The 18,508-nt window shown below is 45.8% G+C and overlaps 1 protein-coding gene across 18 annotated transcripts in view; it reads right to left on the reverse strand.

Annotated features, from left to right (window-relative positions):
- FAM135B (family with sequence similarity 135 member B) overlaps positions 1 to 18,508 on the reverse strand; it is a 367,708-nt gene that overhangs the window by 40,254 nt on the left and 308,946 nt on the right. For all 18 annotated transcript variants that reach the window (NM_001362965.2, NM_015912.4, XM_011517062.2 and 15 more), the window contains 2 exons: positions 8,259 to 8,414; positions 7,071 to 7,144 (listed from right to left, as the gene is read on the reverse strand). In NM_001362965.2, the coding sequence (NP_001349894.1) occupies positions 7,071 to 7,144; positions 8,259 to 8,414 (230 nt within the window). The remainder of the gene's footprint in view (positions 1 to 7,070; positions 7,145 to 8,258; positions 8,415 to 18,508) is intronic.

Genomic DNA, 18,508 nt, shown 5'->3' on the forward strand with positions numbered 1-18,508 from the left:
CAATGGCACAATCTCGGCTCACCGCAACCTCCACCTCCTGGGTTCATGCGATTTTCCTGCCTCAGGCTCCCAAGTAGCTGGGATTACAGGCAGGTGCCATCACACCTGGCTAATTTTGTATTTTTAGTAGGGACAGGGTTTTTCCGTGTTGGTCAGGCTGGTCTTGAACTCCCGACCTCAGGTGATCTGCCCACCTAGGCCTCCCAAACTACTGGGATTACAGGCGTGAGCCACCGCGCCCGGCCCACTATCTTTATTTGAAGATTAAATGTGGTTTAAGAAATGCGAATGGGTGCCAAGTTGACAAGGGGTGGATTTGTGATGGTTGATTTTGGATGTCACCATGATTGGATTATGTGATTCCCTATATAGCTGGTAAAGCACTATACATTCTTAAACACTGCATGGATTATTCTCAATTCTTCTGCTGAAAGGGAAATGTAGGTGGTTTAGTGTGGATTAGAATGACTGGGCTGCCTCAGGGGTGTCTGTGAGGGTGTCTCTGGAGGAGACTGGCATGCAAATTGTGGGATTGAGTGGGGAAGATCTACCCTTAATGTGGGTGGCACCATCCAATTAGTTGGGTCCCGGATGAAATGAAAAGCAGAGGAAAGGCACATTCATCTCTCACTCTCTCTTGGGTCTGGAATGCTCTTCCCCTGCCCTTAGATGTCAGAACTCCAGGTTCTCCAGCTCTTGGACTCTGGGACTCTCAACAACACCCTCTGCACTCCATGCGCTCCCAGGCCTTTGGCCACCATCAGCTTCCTTGGTTCTGAGGAATTCCAACCTGGCCTGAGCCACGCTGCCAGCTCCCTTGGTCCTCCAGCTTGCAGAAGGCCCATCATGGGACTTCTTGGTCTCCACAATAAACTGAGCCAATTGTCCTAATATATTTCTTCTCATCTCTCTCTCTCCATGTATATCCTATGGGTTCTGTCTCTCTGGAGAACGCTGACAAAAACAGATCCTGGTAACAAAAATTACCAGGTGCTAATTGACTGAAGCAAGTCGGGGAGAAGTGTTCCAGGCAGGGATGCTCTCCCCTCCATGGCAAAGATCACAGTTAGGAAACACCACAATCCACCCCACTCAGCTCAACCAAAGGCAGTTGTGATGTCCACTTACCCTGCTCTGTGTTTTTACAATGCCTATCACCTTCCATCATGCTGCATAACTGATTGATTCATAATGCTTATTGTTTAGCACCTGTCTTCCAACACATGCTGTTTTGTTCAATGATGCATATCCCAAGTGCCTTAGACAATGCCTCCCATACAGTGAACAGTATTTGACTAAAACATACTTGTTAAATCAATAAAATTAATCAACATGGCATATGCAGGGAACTAGGGAGCTCTGCAAGAGTGGTTCAGACGGCTGAGGCTGCAGCAGGAAGGTCCCGAGCACTTTTTGAGTCTGGACTCTATGTGGGCAATGAGGAAGCAGTGAAGACCAATAGGCCAAGAAGGGCCACAGCCTCATCTGTGTTTTAGAATGATCAGTCTGACCAGGCAGGGAGTCCGTGAGATAGTGGGTTTCTTTACATGTGTGGTGTATGCAGGCATGTGGTTACGGGTGTGGCATGTGTGCATGTATGTTTTCCTGAGTGTATGCAAGTGCACATGTGTTTACATGGACATATCTGTGTTTATACAGGTGGAGGTGTGCATGTGTGTGCATACGAGTGTAGCTGGGTGCATGCATGGTGCATATATGGGAATGTTATTGCTGCATGCACAAGTGCATGTTTACGTGTATGTGTTTTCTGGTGTTCTGTGGAGAATAAAGAGGGATAGGCTGAGAAAGGTCAATTTAAAGGCAACAATATTTGAACAATATTTAAAGGGAAAAACAACTTTCTCTCTGAATTAAGCAAACTGCAGGGAGAATGTGGAGTTGGAGTTGGAGTTGAGTTTATTATTAGCACAACTGGGAGTGAATCTTGATTTCTGACTCTCCAAGGCTCTGAATGACTCCCACCCCTGCCATCCCTGTAACTCCTCCACCTTCCTCTTCACACACTGCCCTCCAGCCCCACTGACGTTCTCCTAGATCTTTGGTGCAGCATTCAGGCTGTGTCTGGCCTCAGGGCCTTTGCCCTGGCTGTTACCTCCACCTGTAATGCACTGTCCTCCTGGGCTGCTTCCCACCCTCAGACCTCAGTGAGTATAAATGTCACCTTCTCTGAACTGTTCTCCTTTAACACCCTACTTTAGAGAGCCACTGGTCCTACTTGGTCAAATCAGGAACTTTCTATTACCCGGTTCTTTAGCCCCATCTTTAATTTTCTTGCTTATCTGCAAATTTATTTATTGTCTTCTCCGTCCAGTGAGGGCAGAGACCTTGTCTACCTTGTTAGCTTTTTAATTCATTGTATAGAAAGTCCCCAGATCAGTTCCTGGATATAATGGATGACGAATAATTATGCAGAGGGAGGGAGGAAGGGAAGGAGAAAGGGAGCTGAGTAAATAAATACATTAGCAACTAAGGGTAGCATTAAGTAAATAAGAAATCCTCATTCCTTATCATCAAGAGGATCCCAACAGGAATCTGAACTCTGCCTTTGCCTTTTCAAACTGTCACCTCCCATTCCCCTCCCTGCCCACTCCTCCCCTACCTCACCCATGGCAGAAGCCACACAAGTGGGGAGAGACAAGCCTGGAATGCAGCCTGCATAGGTCGGCCTTGCACACCTGTGTCTGAGCGTGCATGGCCCCTGTTCAGCACATGGTCACCTCCTCATCTTTCTAAATGACACTCTAGGGGAGCGGGCTTTGCTTGGAAACCAGTTGTTTGCACAGTAGGCAGAGACACTCCCATTCTGAGCATTCAGGCAGAATCCCTGGATTTTATTTGGGGTATTCTGTGCGGCACATAGGGAAAGAGTCTCCTGAAACATACAGGACCTGGTTCATCTCCTTTTTGTTTCAACGTCAGGTTTACCTGAGTCCGGGCTTATGCTGTCGGACTGTAACCCTGACTCCAGGAATACAGAGCGAAAGCATAAGAACACTTCTGTTTTAGAGGTTCAAAAATCTGCATTTCACTTTATTTCTTATCATGTGTTCTTTAAGATGATGGCTCAACAGTGCACAGAGAAGCCAAAGCAAGGAGGTTATGAGTGTGGCCTCTGGGCTCCAACAGATCCATGCTTGTGTCGCTTGCTGGCTGTGTGGTCTAAGATAAGTTACTTAACCTCTCTGAGCCCAGGTTTCCCTAGTTTCTTCTTCTTTAAAGTGGGGAGAATAATAGTACCTACCTCATAGAGTTCATGTGAACATTAAACGAGCCAAAGCATGTAACGCACTCAGTTTCTGATCAGAGTAGTTTCAATAGACTAAGCACCATGAATAAATGCCTATTTATTGGCACCAGGTAAAATGCCTATTGTGGTCAACCCTACGGACATAGCATGTCTTAGAATGAATTCCTTTTGAAAAGTTAAAACTTACAATTAACACAGGAAATGCAAAAGTCAGAGTGATATCTCATTACTATTGTTATGAAAATGAATACATCGGTGTAGACCTTCTTTTCCATCACCACTTCCACATTCATTCCTCAGCAAACTTTCACCCAATACCTCTTTGCTGTGTGAAAAGCACTAGCTAGACATTGGTAAAACAGAGAAGAGGAACAATAAAACACACCCTTGCTACTGGTCAATTCTAGATTATTTGTTAACACTTTTTAAAAATTGTGACCCGTGGCGAAAGATGGTCTTCATTTCCATGGCAACCCAGTGCAATCACATACTCCCAGAAACACACACACTGAAGCAAAAGTTTCAGCAGACAGTCCTTCCTCATACCATCTATTCTGCCTTGCCCTGTCCTTTCCTACTCCCTCCTATCCTATCCTATTTCATTTAAGAAGCACTGTTCCAAATACACTAGGTTGATTTCACTGTCCACTAAACGATTGTGACCCATTGTTTGAGAAACACAATTTAATCTGAGCTCGAACAAGATGGGTCTTGACAGCTGAGTTTCACCTGTGCCGTCACCTACATTGCCTCATGTCCATCCTGATTTGGGAGTGCGCTGCTGCCTTATGTAAGCCGCATGACCTCCCCGGGGTGACTACCTTTCTCCAGCTCTGACCTCCAGGTGTGCAGAACCACGTTAACGCACAGGTGCCAGCCCTGCATAGCCCCTCTTCACTATCTCACAGTAAGCCTCACTTCTCTTCACAGCACTTTGTACCTTTTCTCTAGCAATCTTCTCAGTCTGAAATGAAATTCTCCCTCTGTTTTACAGCTCTTCTTATTCTTGATGACCTGGCAAAAAGTTTACTTTCTCCTGAGTAGTATCTCGCTTATCTTAGTCTATGATTTATGTTTTTTGTTAATGTCTACTATTTACTGAATGCTTACAACATTCTCTAATCTCTAAAGTCACTCAGAGGATAAACATTACAATCTCCTAGGGATCTGGAGAGCTCCGTCTCCCATCTGATTCAGATCTCCACTCAACCATCACCTTCTCCAGCAGACCTTCTGTGACAATTCATGAACTAGGACTCTCTGTTCCTCTCACAGCGATGCATGTTTCCCCATAGCACTCCTTACCACTTAGCATATCATATCTATGTACTTGTAGGCCTTCCATCACCAAAATATAAGCTTAATGAGATAGTGGATTTGTCTGTTTTATTCACTGTTGAATATCCAGCACTCAACATAGTGAAGACCTAACTAACACAGTCAACACTAAATACATTAGTTATTGAATGAAGGACTCTTCCCTTTACACCTAAAAAAATTAGATATAAGAAGTTCAGTAACTAGTTTGATGTCACAAGCATTACAAGTTACAGAATTAAGATTTCAAATCGTGTATATAAGATTTGAAATGCCAAGGCCCATAGTCATTTGCTGGTAAAAGAAAAACAAAAGCATTAACCATAATTACCACAGTACACAATCCAAAGTCTTTTCCTGGCTGACAAGGCCCCACATGGACTGGTCCCTACTGCCCTCTGGCCCTCCCTCCCTCCCCTCTCCTACTTTCTCATTCTATTCTAGCTACACTTGCCTTCTTGCTGATCTTTAAACACATTGTGTTTCCATATCAGAATCTTTATGACAACTATTCTGTCTACCTAAACAATATTCTTGTATGTCATGGCATGGCTTGCTGTAACCCCAGACACTGTTCAAATGTCACATCTTCAAAAAGACTTTTTCTTATCGCTTTGGCTAAAACAGACTTTCTCTTCTACTCAGTGTTGCCTTGGAGCCCATTCACGCTGGTTTGCAAGAGCTAACTGTGCACATCTCTTCCCAATTCCATATTCAGTGATAGCACAGTGGTAGCTTGAAACTGGCCATTGTGAAAACATTTGCACAGAAGAAATCAGCAGACACTACGAAAGGCAGTTTGTCCTTTGTCTGTTTTTCCTCTTCTGAAAGCTGGTGGCTAAACATTTATGAGATTACTACCCCATTTCTCTTCATTTTCTATGTTCTTATCTTGCTTTTTTCTTCCACTTGTCAAAACTTGAAATTATATAATTTATGTCTTGCCTGTTTCCTCACTAGGATGAGTGACCCATGTATACAGCACCTTTACTATATTATTGCTGTATTTCCACTCCTATGTGGACAATACACATTCGCTTACTTCATCAGTCACCTTCTAACACTTTCTGAGCAGAGTCTGTGGCTAGCTCCGTGTGTTCCATGTGCATGGACATGCCCATTATGTCCTCACAATTGCTGTCTTACCCACTGTGTGGATAAGGAAGCTGAGACTGGATGGGGGTGAGAAAAAAACAAGAAGGACAGAAACATAACTCTCTCAAGGACCAACTGCTAATAAATGCAGGAACAGGGTCTTGAACCCATGTAATCTGAGTGCTGGGTCATCTGTGGTTTGTACAGGGGGTCAGTGTTGCAAAGCTCTTCCAGGAGAGCAGTTGTCTTTGAGTCTGTCTCCTCTGTGTGTGCTCACACTGCTTGAGAATGCAACCATGGCTCCACAATCGAAGGTTTACCTATTGTTGCAGTAACTCTGGAAAGAAGATTTCCTGCAGGGATCTTGATATGCAATATTTTTCTCAGTGACCCTCACGGTTATGTTTGTATTTGTCAGATTAGCTCTTCTCTGTTTTTAATTCTAGAAAATATATTCTCCCAGCTCTAGCTGGCCACTGGGATAAAAGAATTAATGAGTGAGTGAATGACCGTAGAAATTCCTAGACTTGTCATTTCAACACGCAGCTGTGCTTTCCTTGGTGCCACCCCCTTACTTGCAGAATCCATGAGACAAGCCGTGAATGTCATTGTACTTTCCAAACAGAATGAATTGTGGGGAGAAAACAGGATTCTAATGAGAAAGGTGAAAAAGTCTCCACGTCCATCTTGAGTGATGGATGGGTCTCATGTGTTTCTCCTTCTATTTTTGCTATGGCATCTCAAGCATCTTTCCATCCACATTTAATGTTTGAGGTGAACGTATCATTTGGAAGCAAAAAGAAACCCTTGGACTGTGGACCAGAGGACAAAACATATTGGAAGATTCTCTACTCCCACTCACCTGGGAATCTATGAGACAGTGACCTCATCCTCCCTCAACCCTCTCACTGCCTTGAGTACCTTTCAATTTTTTTTCTGGAAGAAGGCAAACTTAGCAATTCATCAGCCCTCCTAATTACGTAGTTCAGACTTAATTCTTATGCTGAATGCATTTCATAGCTACCACAGAGTCTAAGGCAAATTCTGTGTTTTTTCTGACATAGTTTGAGGCCACACCACCTGCTTCTAATTCATTTCGCAGAGGACTCAGCACAGATGTCTTCAGGGACCTAGGGTGCCTTGATTCTGTCTACAAAACCATGATACTCAATGAAAGAAAATTTTGGCTGGTGACCTTCTCTGCCACCTGCCAGCTCCCCACTCTGCAATCTGTCTGACTCTTTTGCCTGCAGAGGAAATGCAGACAGAAAGTGCAGAGGTGGGCAGACTTCTCTCCTTCACTTCCAGTGAGAAAGTGAAGAGTAACTTTGAACAGCATGTCTTGGGTGGCTGCTTTTAGGGATGAAGTGGGCATGCAATGGATACTTACAGATTCTCCTGAAATGTCAGGACTGCAAGTTTTTGGTGCTCCATGTAAAAGAAGGCCTCAGAAAACCTTCGGACCTGCAGAATAAAACAATGTAAACAGTTCAATTCTTTAGGTAGGTATTACCTGCACTTTCTTTTTTTTTAATTGAGGCTCAAAAAGATGAATGATATTTCCTAATAGGAAGAGAGCCAGGCCCCTGACCTGAAGGTTCTGAATCAACAGTCTTCACATTCCTCCAAACTGATCTCTCTCCTTCAGAGCTCTTAGCCCACACTTGGTTTATGAACACACGTGAATGCAGTCTATGAATCTGTTCTTGCATTGCTTTTGCTATTGTGTTTAACTTGAGGTCTTATTTATTCTACTAGAATATAAGACCTCTGTGAACAGGGTCCATAAATAAATGCAGATGAAATAGAATTCCCAAACCCAGTCATGTATGTTCTCTGAACATTTTGTGGACTCTGATCTTCATATGTTTTGTCATCTTGTTCTAACTAGATGTTGATCTAAATACCAGCATATTTAGTTATGCATCAGCACCTACCCATATGTACCTAAGCTGGTGGCAGAGAAACACACAGAGAGCAATGTCTTACATTAAAAAGCACTTTTTCAGCTGGTGCAGTGGCTCATGCCTGTAATCCCAGCACTCTGGGAGGCTGAGGCGGGCAGATTGCCTGAGGTCAGGAGTTCGAGACCAGTCTAGTCAACATGGTGAAACCCCATCTCTACTAAAAATACAAAAAAAATTAGTCGGGTGTGGTGGTGTGAGCCTGTAATCCCAGCTACTCGGGAGGCTGAGGCAGGGGAATTGCTTGAATCAGGGAGGTGGAGATTGCAGTGAGCGGAGATTGCACCACTGCACTCCAGTCTGGGTGACAGAGCGAGACACCATCTCAAAGAAAAAAAAAAAAAAGAAAAGCACTTTTTCCAAAATACTTTTAATATTTCTTGTGATAGGCTCTGAAATCCTCTGAGATTGCCAAGGCAAGTATTCTATGAATGACACAGCAAAGGCCTGAGAGGCTAAGGAAGTTCACAACGCCACCCTGCACGGTCATGGTAGAGACACGAAAGCACGAAGATCTAGAGGCCAATCCTAATGCTTGATCTAATTCTCATAAAGGTTCCTCCAAAGAAATCAAATGCATGTGATCAGAGAATGCACAGCAGTTGGCCACTCACCCTCAGGGTGTGGTGTTCCTGGGTGAGATAAGTGGTCACTTGGGAGTGCAGAGTGACTGTGTCCAGGAACTGGGTCCACAGAGTCATCATGTGGGACGTGAGCCAGGCCAGATCCTTGCTTATCTGCTCAGCGATCTTCTCTGGATTGTTCAACATCTGGAGAGGCAAAAAAGGTGGTATTCAAGGCTCCTGACTCCATGAAGTCAGGAGCAGTCTTCTTCCTGAAGTCTTTACTGACTTTTCTGTTTTCAATAAAGCACTCTCCTTTCTCTGTACATCTGTAGTATTATATATTACAACTCATAGTACTATAGGATCATGTTATCACGTTTGATCTGGAAGCTAAGACAGCAATGGCAACAATAAATTATTGAGGTAGTTCCTATCTATAGAAAAACATCCAAAGCCCTTAGTCTAGCAGGCAAGATTGCCCACTACCTAGTCCCAGTATATCTTTTCCATTTCATTTTACTTTCATGTATGTTCTGAGTACAGCTTACTCTTAGATTTCCATAAACATCTTGCACCTTGAATGTTTTCCCTCGCTCTTCGTTTATCCTGGATATCCCCTTTCAACTTTTCTATCCAAGCCTTCTAATCCCATCACCACAAAACTCAATTCACCCTACTTTTCAATGCCCAGAGCCAACAACACTTGCTTTATGACGTCTTCACAGTTGCCCCAGCTGGAAACCTTTTACTCACATTCTCCCCAAACTCTTCAAGGTACCCCAGATCCATCTACTGGACTCTACTCTGTATCCCATCAAATTCTGGACGCAGTACTTCACAGCAGTTATAACTTCCAATCATCACTATCTCCTATGTGTAAGGTAGAGTACTAGGCATTTGACGGTGCTCCCTATCTAATCCTGCCAGATACCCTTTGGTAGAGTTACTGTGGCCATCCAATTACAGAAAGTGAAATGAAAGTCAGTAAAAGAATGCCCAACCTCACATACAGCAGGGATTCAATGGAAGGGATGTATGACTATGAAGCCACATCACCATGTCACCTTCGCATAGTAAGTGTTTAAAAAACGTCCTGAGAGAAGACAGCATCTCTGTAACCTCAAAGCACCTGAGGACTGAGGCAATTCATGCACGATAGGTGCTCCATAGCTTTTCTCCACCATCCTCCTCACACTACTCCACATTTGTTTTTGTTTTTCTTTTAGTGACAGGGTCTCGCTCTGTCACCCAGGCTGGAGTGCAGTGGTGTGATCATGGCTCACTGCAGCCTCGAATTCCTGGGCTCCAGCAATCCTCCAATCTCAACCTCTGGCTGGGACTACAGGTGCATGCCACTGCACCCAGACAACTTTTTGTAGAGACGGGGTCTCACTGTGTTGCCCAGGCTGGTCTCGAACTCCTGGGCTCAAGTGATCCACCTGCTTCAGAGTGTTGGGATTACACGTATGAGCCATCACACCTGGCTTCACTCCACATTTCTTACGGGAGATTCCTGGTTACATTAACTAAAATGTAGAGGAGTTAGACTAGAAAGGGCCTAGAGGCTTTGGGAGAAGACCCTTTGGACAGAAATGCTTTAGATAGCTACAGTTTAATACCAGGAGAACCATCTTTTGGGGGAGTAACTCGAATTCTGGAGAGGTGAGAAGAGAGGTCACATCTCTGAGGATGGCAGGAAGCCAGTTGCCAAAGCCTGTCACTGACCTCTAAGCTTCCTCACTTATTCAAGCATTTAATCCCAGGCACATGTTTAGAATAAGAGAGAACTCAGAGATGAACAAGAGAGGGTCTCTGTCCGTAGGGAGCTTTGTTCAATGGTGGATATTTCCACTCATTAATGTGAGTTAACAATTAAAAGTGCCGCGGAGCTTTCTACTATGCACAATAGACCAGGGACACACAGCCATAGCCACATCCAATCCCATTCCTTTCTCTTCGTTGCCCTGTGCCTCAGTTTTCCCATCTGTAAAGTGAGTATGCAAAACAAATTACTGCTTTTGGGTGTAAAATATGAGGAGATCCAAGTCCAATGCCTAGCTTGAAATGCTGGAATTTTCTTCTGCTATTCTTAGACTGAAGACTAGTGCTAGATAGAGACCAATTGGGTAAAGTGAGACATCCAAGAGTAAGAAAGAGGGAAGGAGGAGTTTGGCACACAGTAAGGTTCTGTAAATGTTGCATATTTTTGCTTTATCATGGATGACTTGCTTCCAGATACAGAACATCATTCAGCCACAGCATCATCTCTGAGCTACTTCTTCCAAAAGGTAAGATAAGTCTGTGATGATGACACAAGCTATGAAACCCCAAAATGAGGGAATCGCCTGCATTTTCTTCTGATGGAAGCTTTACTTCCAGCACTGGCTCTGGGGCAGGCAGGGGTCAAACAGGGAATGGCCATTCTTGGCCCATTCCCATACATCATGGTCAAAAGTGTTAAGTAAAAACTGGGGCCGGGCATGGTGGCTCATACCTGTAATCCCAGAACTTTGGGAGGCTGAGGCAGGCGGATCACGAGGTCAAGAGAACGAGACCATCCTGGCCGACATGGTAAAACCCTGTCTCTACTAAAAATAAAAAAAAAATAGCCGGGCATGGTGGCAGGTGCCTATAGTCCCAGCTAATCGGGAGGCTGAGGCAGGAGAATTGCTTGAACCTGGGAAGCAGAGGTTGCAGTGAGCCGAGATCGCACCACTACACTCCAGCCTGGAGACAGAGTGAGACTCCGTTTCAAAAAAATAAAGAAGAAAAGAAAAGTAAAAGTTGAATGGGGAATATGGCGGACAGGGTCAGTCATTACAAAACCTCCTGGCTAGAGAGTGAGGCTTTTGGATGAACTGTAAGTGACTTCTATATAGATTCTTGAACCAGTGCCTCTCACTAATAAGACCCAACCTTATGCATCAGCACGTGGCACAACTGCTCCTGAAAATGCCCCCCACCTCACCTCTGCCCACTTCCCATCCTGGCCCAGTGCACTCCCGTTCCCAGCCATACCAACCTGCTGGCAGTGGGCTGCACACACACCTGGTCCTCTCCAATCCCAGGCCCTTGTTCAGGCTGCTGGTCTCCCTGCGCACCTTCCCCCGTCACCTTCCAGTTTCCTTTCTTCTTCTTTTCATCACTATGGACTTGTCTGTCCTCTACCAGGTAACCATTTCAGAAGCCAATTTTGTGTCTCCTTGTTTCTTTTTTTTTTCTCTAAATAATTTCAACTTTTGTTTTAAATTCAGAGAGTCCACACACAGTCCATATTGCTTCTGATGACTCTTCTGAACCTTCTCCAATGCTCCGCGTGTAAGTCTAAGATCCTTCTTGACGTCTACTTGACCTGCACGGGCACCACTCATAGCACCTCCACCCACATGTTGCTGGCTTCACTTCCTACATCCCCTGCATTTTGAGCTTCAGCCTTCTCACTATTCCCAGCCCCAGCACAACAGCTGATAGAGAGTGAGGGTCAGTGACTCTTTACAAAATGAATAGGTGGCTCGGTGTCCGTGGGAGGTGTCCCAGGCCTCCGGAACTCAGACTGCCTCTCCCGGCCTCCTTGTTCCCTCACTCACAGCACCACTACCACGCTGCCACCACAGTGGCACCGGCAAACACAGCACGAATCCTGAGCTCCGCCACCAGAGTGAACAAGAGAAAAAAGAAAAGCTATTCATTAAATGTGTCTTTGGGAGGATTATGTTGCCTCAAGTTGATTATAGAAATGGCTTTAGATAAGGTTAAAGAAGCTTCTAATTAAGCCACAAGAGGACTTTTCTACTCCACAGATGCCCGAGCCTGTGCAATCACAGATGGCGAGCTTGGAAGGGTTTTTTCCAGAGACCGAGGAGGCCCTTTACACTAACAAAGAGGCAGCTGCAGCCCAGAGCTGTCATAGCTGAAACTCCCTGAAAAAAGGCCCTGCCATCCACGCCTGCCACACTTTCACCCTCGTCACCTGGGTGCTAACCAAGCACCTTTGTTCACTCCCCTACTCCCTTGCTCTGCCAACTGAGTGCTGGTTCTGTCCCAGCGGTGTGCCGAGCTCTGGGGAGCCAAACATAAATGCATACAGTCCAGGAAGAGGTGTATGATCGTGTTATAGCTATTTAATTAGATAATTATAATATACTTGTAAACTACTGTGCAAGAGATATATACTGAGTACTGTAGAAAGGTCATGGAAGGCTTCCTGGAGGAGGTGATACTTACATTACATCTTCAAGGTGAATAGACATTAAGTCAAGAGAAGCCTGCTTTACATTCCATGAACAAACCGCGCTCTCTCACTGGTCCTCAATTATGGTTGCCCATCGGAATCACTAGGAGGCTATAAGTCCACCAATGTCTGGGCCCGTCTCAGATTCTCTGAGGGTGTGGCCTAAACATTAAACCTTTGTAAAGTTTTCCCAGGTGATTGTAATGGGCAGCCAGGGTTGCAAACCCCTGCTTGGTCACAACCCCTGCCTTCGTGCATGTCCTCATCTTCATCCAGAATCCCTCCCCAACACCTTGTGTGCATACACACTCAGGCACACACACACCTGCGATGTCCACTCCTGTTTTAGATCTCAGTTCAGTGCCATCCACCCAGGTGCCCTCTCCTACATATACAAGGGGGGTGGGGGGGCGGTCTAAGAATAACAATGGCAACACTGACAATTGAGAGTTACAAGGCACTGTGTGCCAAGAGCTTTGCAGAAATTTTAATGTACTTAATTACTTAATCCTTATAGTAATCCTACCCATAAATCTAATATTATCAGTCTTAATTTATGGATGGAGTAACTAAGGCACTTGAAGGTGGAGCAACATGCCCAAGATTACAGATAGTAAGTGGGAGGCAATGTCTGGACCCAGGAAGTCCAGCTCCAAAGCTCTGTTTAGTTGCCAAGCAATGCAGCCTCTCATTAACCCCTCTACATGCTGTGTAGACCTGCATGCTGGCCCCTGTACCACTGCATGTATTACAACAGCATGCTCACAGGTCTGCTCAACTCGCTTCAATATATATTTGCAGACGACAGGAGGAATCTCCTGCAAACTTTGCATGTATCAGACTCTTTAAACTCACAGGATATACCTGGAGACTTCTGGCATGGGATTCACTTAATACCCCCTTCATTGAGAATTTATTTTTCCTTCCGATGTTCAAGGATTTTTATAACAACAGCATAGCAATAGTTCTGCAAGTGCATCCACTTACATGACTTTGGACCAAGGGTGACGTGGATGAAAGAAAATTCAAGTTGTTCCGGGAGACTTTCTATCAATGAAAAATGAAATCCAACATCTTGTTGAGTTCAGTTTGATAATTACTTTGGGATCTATTCTCTACCTGGTGCTATTTGGAGACACGTTTTGCAGTTTTGCTTCAGCAAATATTTAGCACGCTTAGTATGTTTTCATAACAGCCTCCAAATATAAATAGAACTCAGTCCCTTCTATGCAGGAATTCACGGCTCAGTGGAGCAGGAACAAAGTAACACAAATCCTTAAACTAAACTGAGCCATGGCTGGGATGGAGCAAGGCACCATGAAACACAGGAGCTCACCGGGAGCTCTCAGATCCCAGGATCTCAGATGGTTTCCTGAGAAGTCAGCCTTTGGTTTGGGCTTTGCAGGCTGATGAGGATTGTGTCAGGAATAAAAACAAGGTGAGATGGGATAGCCCGGGCAGAGGCCATAGCTTGCAGAAAGATACTGTTTTTGCCCCCTGAAGGTCTGAAATACAAGGTGTGCAGGAGGGCTGGGGCACCTCAGGGACAGGTGAGAGGAGCATCACATGTCCTTGGCTTTGACTTCCATCCTAAGCAATCAGGCCTTCATCCTGCAGGTGAACAGGAACTAGCAGGAGCTTGTAACCAGGACAGTGAGAGTTGTCCCTGTGTTGGTTTCCATGCTTCCTGCAGCACACTCTGTATGGGAGGATGTGCGACGCAAAAGATGAGTCAGACAAGGGCTCCCCCATACGGGGCCTTGTGGTTACAGAAGAAGTCCCTGTGAAGAGTGATCCTGACATGTGGTGAGGTCTCACTGGGCCCAGAAGCTTTCCCATTCCATGGGACGGGCCATAGGAAGGCAGTCTGGGTATTGCTGCCAAGGCCCCTGGAACCTCTGGAGAGATGCTCTGTGTGCACTGCTGCAGAAAAGACCGGGCAGAGAAGAGTTGAACCCTGTGTCCAGCTTCACGGCATGGCAGAGGGGGACCAGGAGACAGCTATGTGCCTGCTGGATGTCCACCTAAAGGGCGACCCCCAGTGAAGGTTTAGAGTTCAAACACACACTATTCAAACCGCCATACACGATATCCCAGCTGCACCATCATCTCCAGGGAACTAGTGGGAATTGCAGAATCTCTTGCCCCACCTCAGCTCAAAAGAATCAGAATGCACATTTTAACAAGATCCCCAGGTAATTCATGTGCACATTAAAGTGTGAGAAGTTCTAAAATTGGAAAGAGAAATTGGTTTTTCTCAAACCAGCTGCCTCCAGCTGAGCTTGGTGTTCTGGGCTGCCCTGGGCAGGCTCTCAATAAGCTCAGAGTCGCCCTCTAGAGTTAGTGCTGTGAAGTCCTAGCGCCAGGAATTCCCTGACCTGCGGGACAGGGAAAGGAGAGGTAACAGTGACCACAGTGGACAGCCAGTCCCCAAAGCTTTAGTTTCCCCACTAGGAATCAGGCCTAATAAAACCTACATCACAGCATCAAAACGAGGACCCATGGAGCACACATGTAACATACTAATCAATGGGACCAGTGCAGACTAGGTGCTCAGTTTCTAGGAATGGCTTTCCTTCACTCATTGTTGGAAGGTAGATAGTGTCCCGGAGTGCCTCTTATGCTCTTTACCCCCTTGAATTTGAGATCAGCTCCTTCACAGCAGAAACTCGAGAAGCCACTGGGCCTCATGGGATCTGAGTGTCCTCTAGAATCACGGACTTCAAAAGGATGTTAAATGAAACAATGCATTTAAAGACCCTCTGACAAGAGGACTGGTCAAAGCAAACAAACAAATGAAAGAAACAAACCCCAAATACGCAATCTCCGCCACTCCCCAAAACCAACAAAACAGGCTGCCCACAGTCAGAAGCTGCTCACTGATGCTTAGTAACTGTACTTATCATTAGTAGTCCCTGCTAGGAGGGTATAGCTCTGGGAAAGACTACGTGACAATTTGGGATCTCCCAGAAGTTTACTGGGGGGCAACCAGGGAATTCTCTTGTGTTATAGAAAACCTCCGTTGCTGTATTATAACAAATTAAACAACAACAGCAACATTGCTCTCCAGTTGATACTCAGCATGTGTTGAACTTGTTTGTACCAAAGCACATGTCTGAGTTTCATTAGAACCTGCAGGTCCTCTGTGAGGAGTACACCCCACTTCCTAATCAGGCTTCACAGCAGGGGTCTTCACCAACTGCTCCAACTCCCCTCTCCAGCCTGCCCTGCATCCCCACCTGAGCTCCACCTAGGTGGGACCCAAGTACCCACGCTGCTTCAGTCTGGTGGGCCCTTACCCTGGGCTTTGCACGGCTGTTCCCTCTGCCCTGAGGGTCCTTCCCTGACTGGTGTCTGACACCCCCCACTCCTTCAGGGCAATGTCCCAGGCTCCATGCCGGCCTCCCCAGGCAAGATAAGGTGCCCGCTCCTCCTTGCTCCTGCAGCCCCTCACCTCTCGCTCCCTGGTTCCAGTACTGACCACATCAGCAGGGTCCACCTTATCTGTGAACAAATCTATTTCTCATTGAGCTGCAAGTAAGTCCTGCTTGGTATCTTCCATCTTTGTATAACCAATGAATAGTCCAGTGGTCAGCACACAGTAGATGCTAAGTAAACATTTATAAGAATTGTATGGAGTAAAGATTCATCCACATCACTCCATTACTGCAGAGCTCTATGTCTTCAAATTGCTTTAAATCGCCCAAAACACCTTCCCACCCCCACCACTGGCAGGAGTGGGGGAGACCAGGAGCTGGCGATGCTCTACCTCTAAACAGTGCTGCTGACTTAGCTTGCTCTTCAGGGATTTTTGGGAAGCGGGTGTTGTTTCTTCCATTGCAATGACCGGCCAATTCTTTACCAAACCAAGGAGTAGGCGGAAGCACACCCCCATACACCCTTTCCACCCTCTTCATCCAGCCACATCCGTGCAGCAGTTGGCTAATTTAGTTGCTTTGTATAAAGTAAAGCCTGTGGCAATGCAGTCACTCAAAACCAAGAGCCGGTAGTCCTGCAGCTTGGGGCACCGCCCTAGAAGAGGAAGGCAATTAGTTGACCTCTCATAAAATATACTTGATCAAGTCATTGGCAGCCTGCGTCCTAACCCCTGAATCTCCCACTAGAACCATTGTGGGAAACAGACAAGATAGCACTGCAATGGAATACAGGTGGCCTTGTGTTTAGGCCCTGGGCCCACCCCTTGGTGATTCGTGGACTTTAAGGAAGCCACATTTCTCTGTGTCCATTTAAAGCAAAATGACTGGGGATACTTGAGTACCTCCCTCCTTGTACTCCCAGGGCTGCAGCAAGGATAGAGCCTGGTGAACCATGGGCAGGGAGCCAGCATTCCCTAGGCCAGGTATGTTGGTATTGTCATTGTTGCAGTGACTGCAGTTAACCTTAATCATCAGTTCCTGCCTCAAGATTCACTCCCTTTCCTTGTATGGTATTGTGATGGAAGGAAATTAAAATTTCTTACTCCCAAACATATTTCTTTGACATGTTTTGAAAAGGCTGCTGCTTGGCCACCAGGCAGAAGTGATCTTGCAAAACTGCCTTAAGTGGGAAAAATTCGTATCTGCAGAGAACCTCTAATAATGAAGCCAGGCTCCCTCCCTTTTTCATGCCTTTCCCAAGATCCAGGAGGGATGGAGAGTTCCACACCTTTAAAAGTCTGAAAATGAACATGTGCCACCTATTCTCTGTGAGAGAGACTTCATCTACACAACAAGGCCACCTTGGCTGGCCAAGCCTCTTCTCTCCCTCCCATAACCTGGTTTGCCAGAATCTAAGCCCCCATCTTTCTGTAACCTTAAGGTGGTGTGTAAGTTTCTGTAACTCACTGGGAAATTGGGTCTTTAGGGGCCAAGAGCCTCTAGCCCCCATATGATATATATACATACACATACATACATATCTCTCTCCACAGTTTCTGTCACAGAGCTTCTATTAATAAAACCCTTGACATTTCTGAAGTCATAGGAACATCTTTTGTTATTCATAAATTCCTTTCAAACATATGCTAATTGAGCCTGTGCCAATGAGGTGACTCTTGACAGACCTTTAGATAGCTTTAGGGTAGAGGCTGTTTGCCAGAAAGACCAATCCATGATTGGAGAGTTGGGACTTTGAGCCCGGCCCCGATCTCTGGAGAAAGGAGAGGGGCTGGGGACTGAGCTAATCAACAATGGCCAATGATTTAATCAATTGTGTCTAATATCAGGGAACCTCCATAAAACCTTTAAGGGATGGGTCTTAGAGAGGTTCTGGGTTAGTGAATGCCTTCACCTGCTAGGAGGATGGTGTACAGGTGAGGACACTCACCTGCTAGGAGGATGGTGTACAGCTGAGGACGCCTTCAACTGCTAGGAGGAGCTCTACAGGTGAGAGGTCTCTGCACTTGGGTTCCTTGCAAACCTCGCCCTGTGGAACTCTTCATCTGGCTGTGCATCAGCACTCTTTGCAATATTCTTTATCATAGAACAGGTATAGTAAGAAAAGGGCTTCCTGAGTTCTCTGAGCCATTCACCAAATTATTAACCTAGAGGAGGGCATCATAGGAATCCCTGATGTAAAGCTGATTGGTCAGAAGTACTGCAGGCCCAGGACTCACAACCTGCACCTCAAGTGAGGCCTGTCTTATGGGGCTGCACCCCTAACCAGTGGGATCTAATGCTGAACCCAGGTAGACAGGATTGAGTTTGAATTGGATCACTGGACATCCAGCTCATGTCAGAGAGTTGGCAAGGTTGTTGGTGTGAGGAAAGCCTCCACGCATTTGGTGTCAAAGTGTCTGTGGATACAGACAAATCCTAGTAGTTCCTTTCTCTACACAGCTTGTCAGCCTCCTTCCTCATGGCTCTCTGTGACTTGGGAATGTGTTTCAGCTCCGTGGTGCCTGGGGCACACAGGCCTGTTCACTATAAGCCTGGGATCTCTCCACAGAGCCTCAGTCATCCCATGCCCTGCCTTCCTGCAGCCCTGCCCACTGTTCCACAAGCACAGCCTTGCACCTCACGCCTTGCTGCTTCCAGGTTCCATCTACCGCCTTTGTGCAAACAGAAGA

Source organism: Homo sapiens, chromosome 8, assembly GCF_000001405.40.
Source record: "Homo sapiens chromosome 8, GRCh38.p14 Primary Assembly".
NCBI classification, from domain to species: Eukaryota; Metazoa; Chordata; class Mammalia; order Primates; family Hominidae; genus Homo; species Homo sapiens.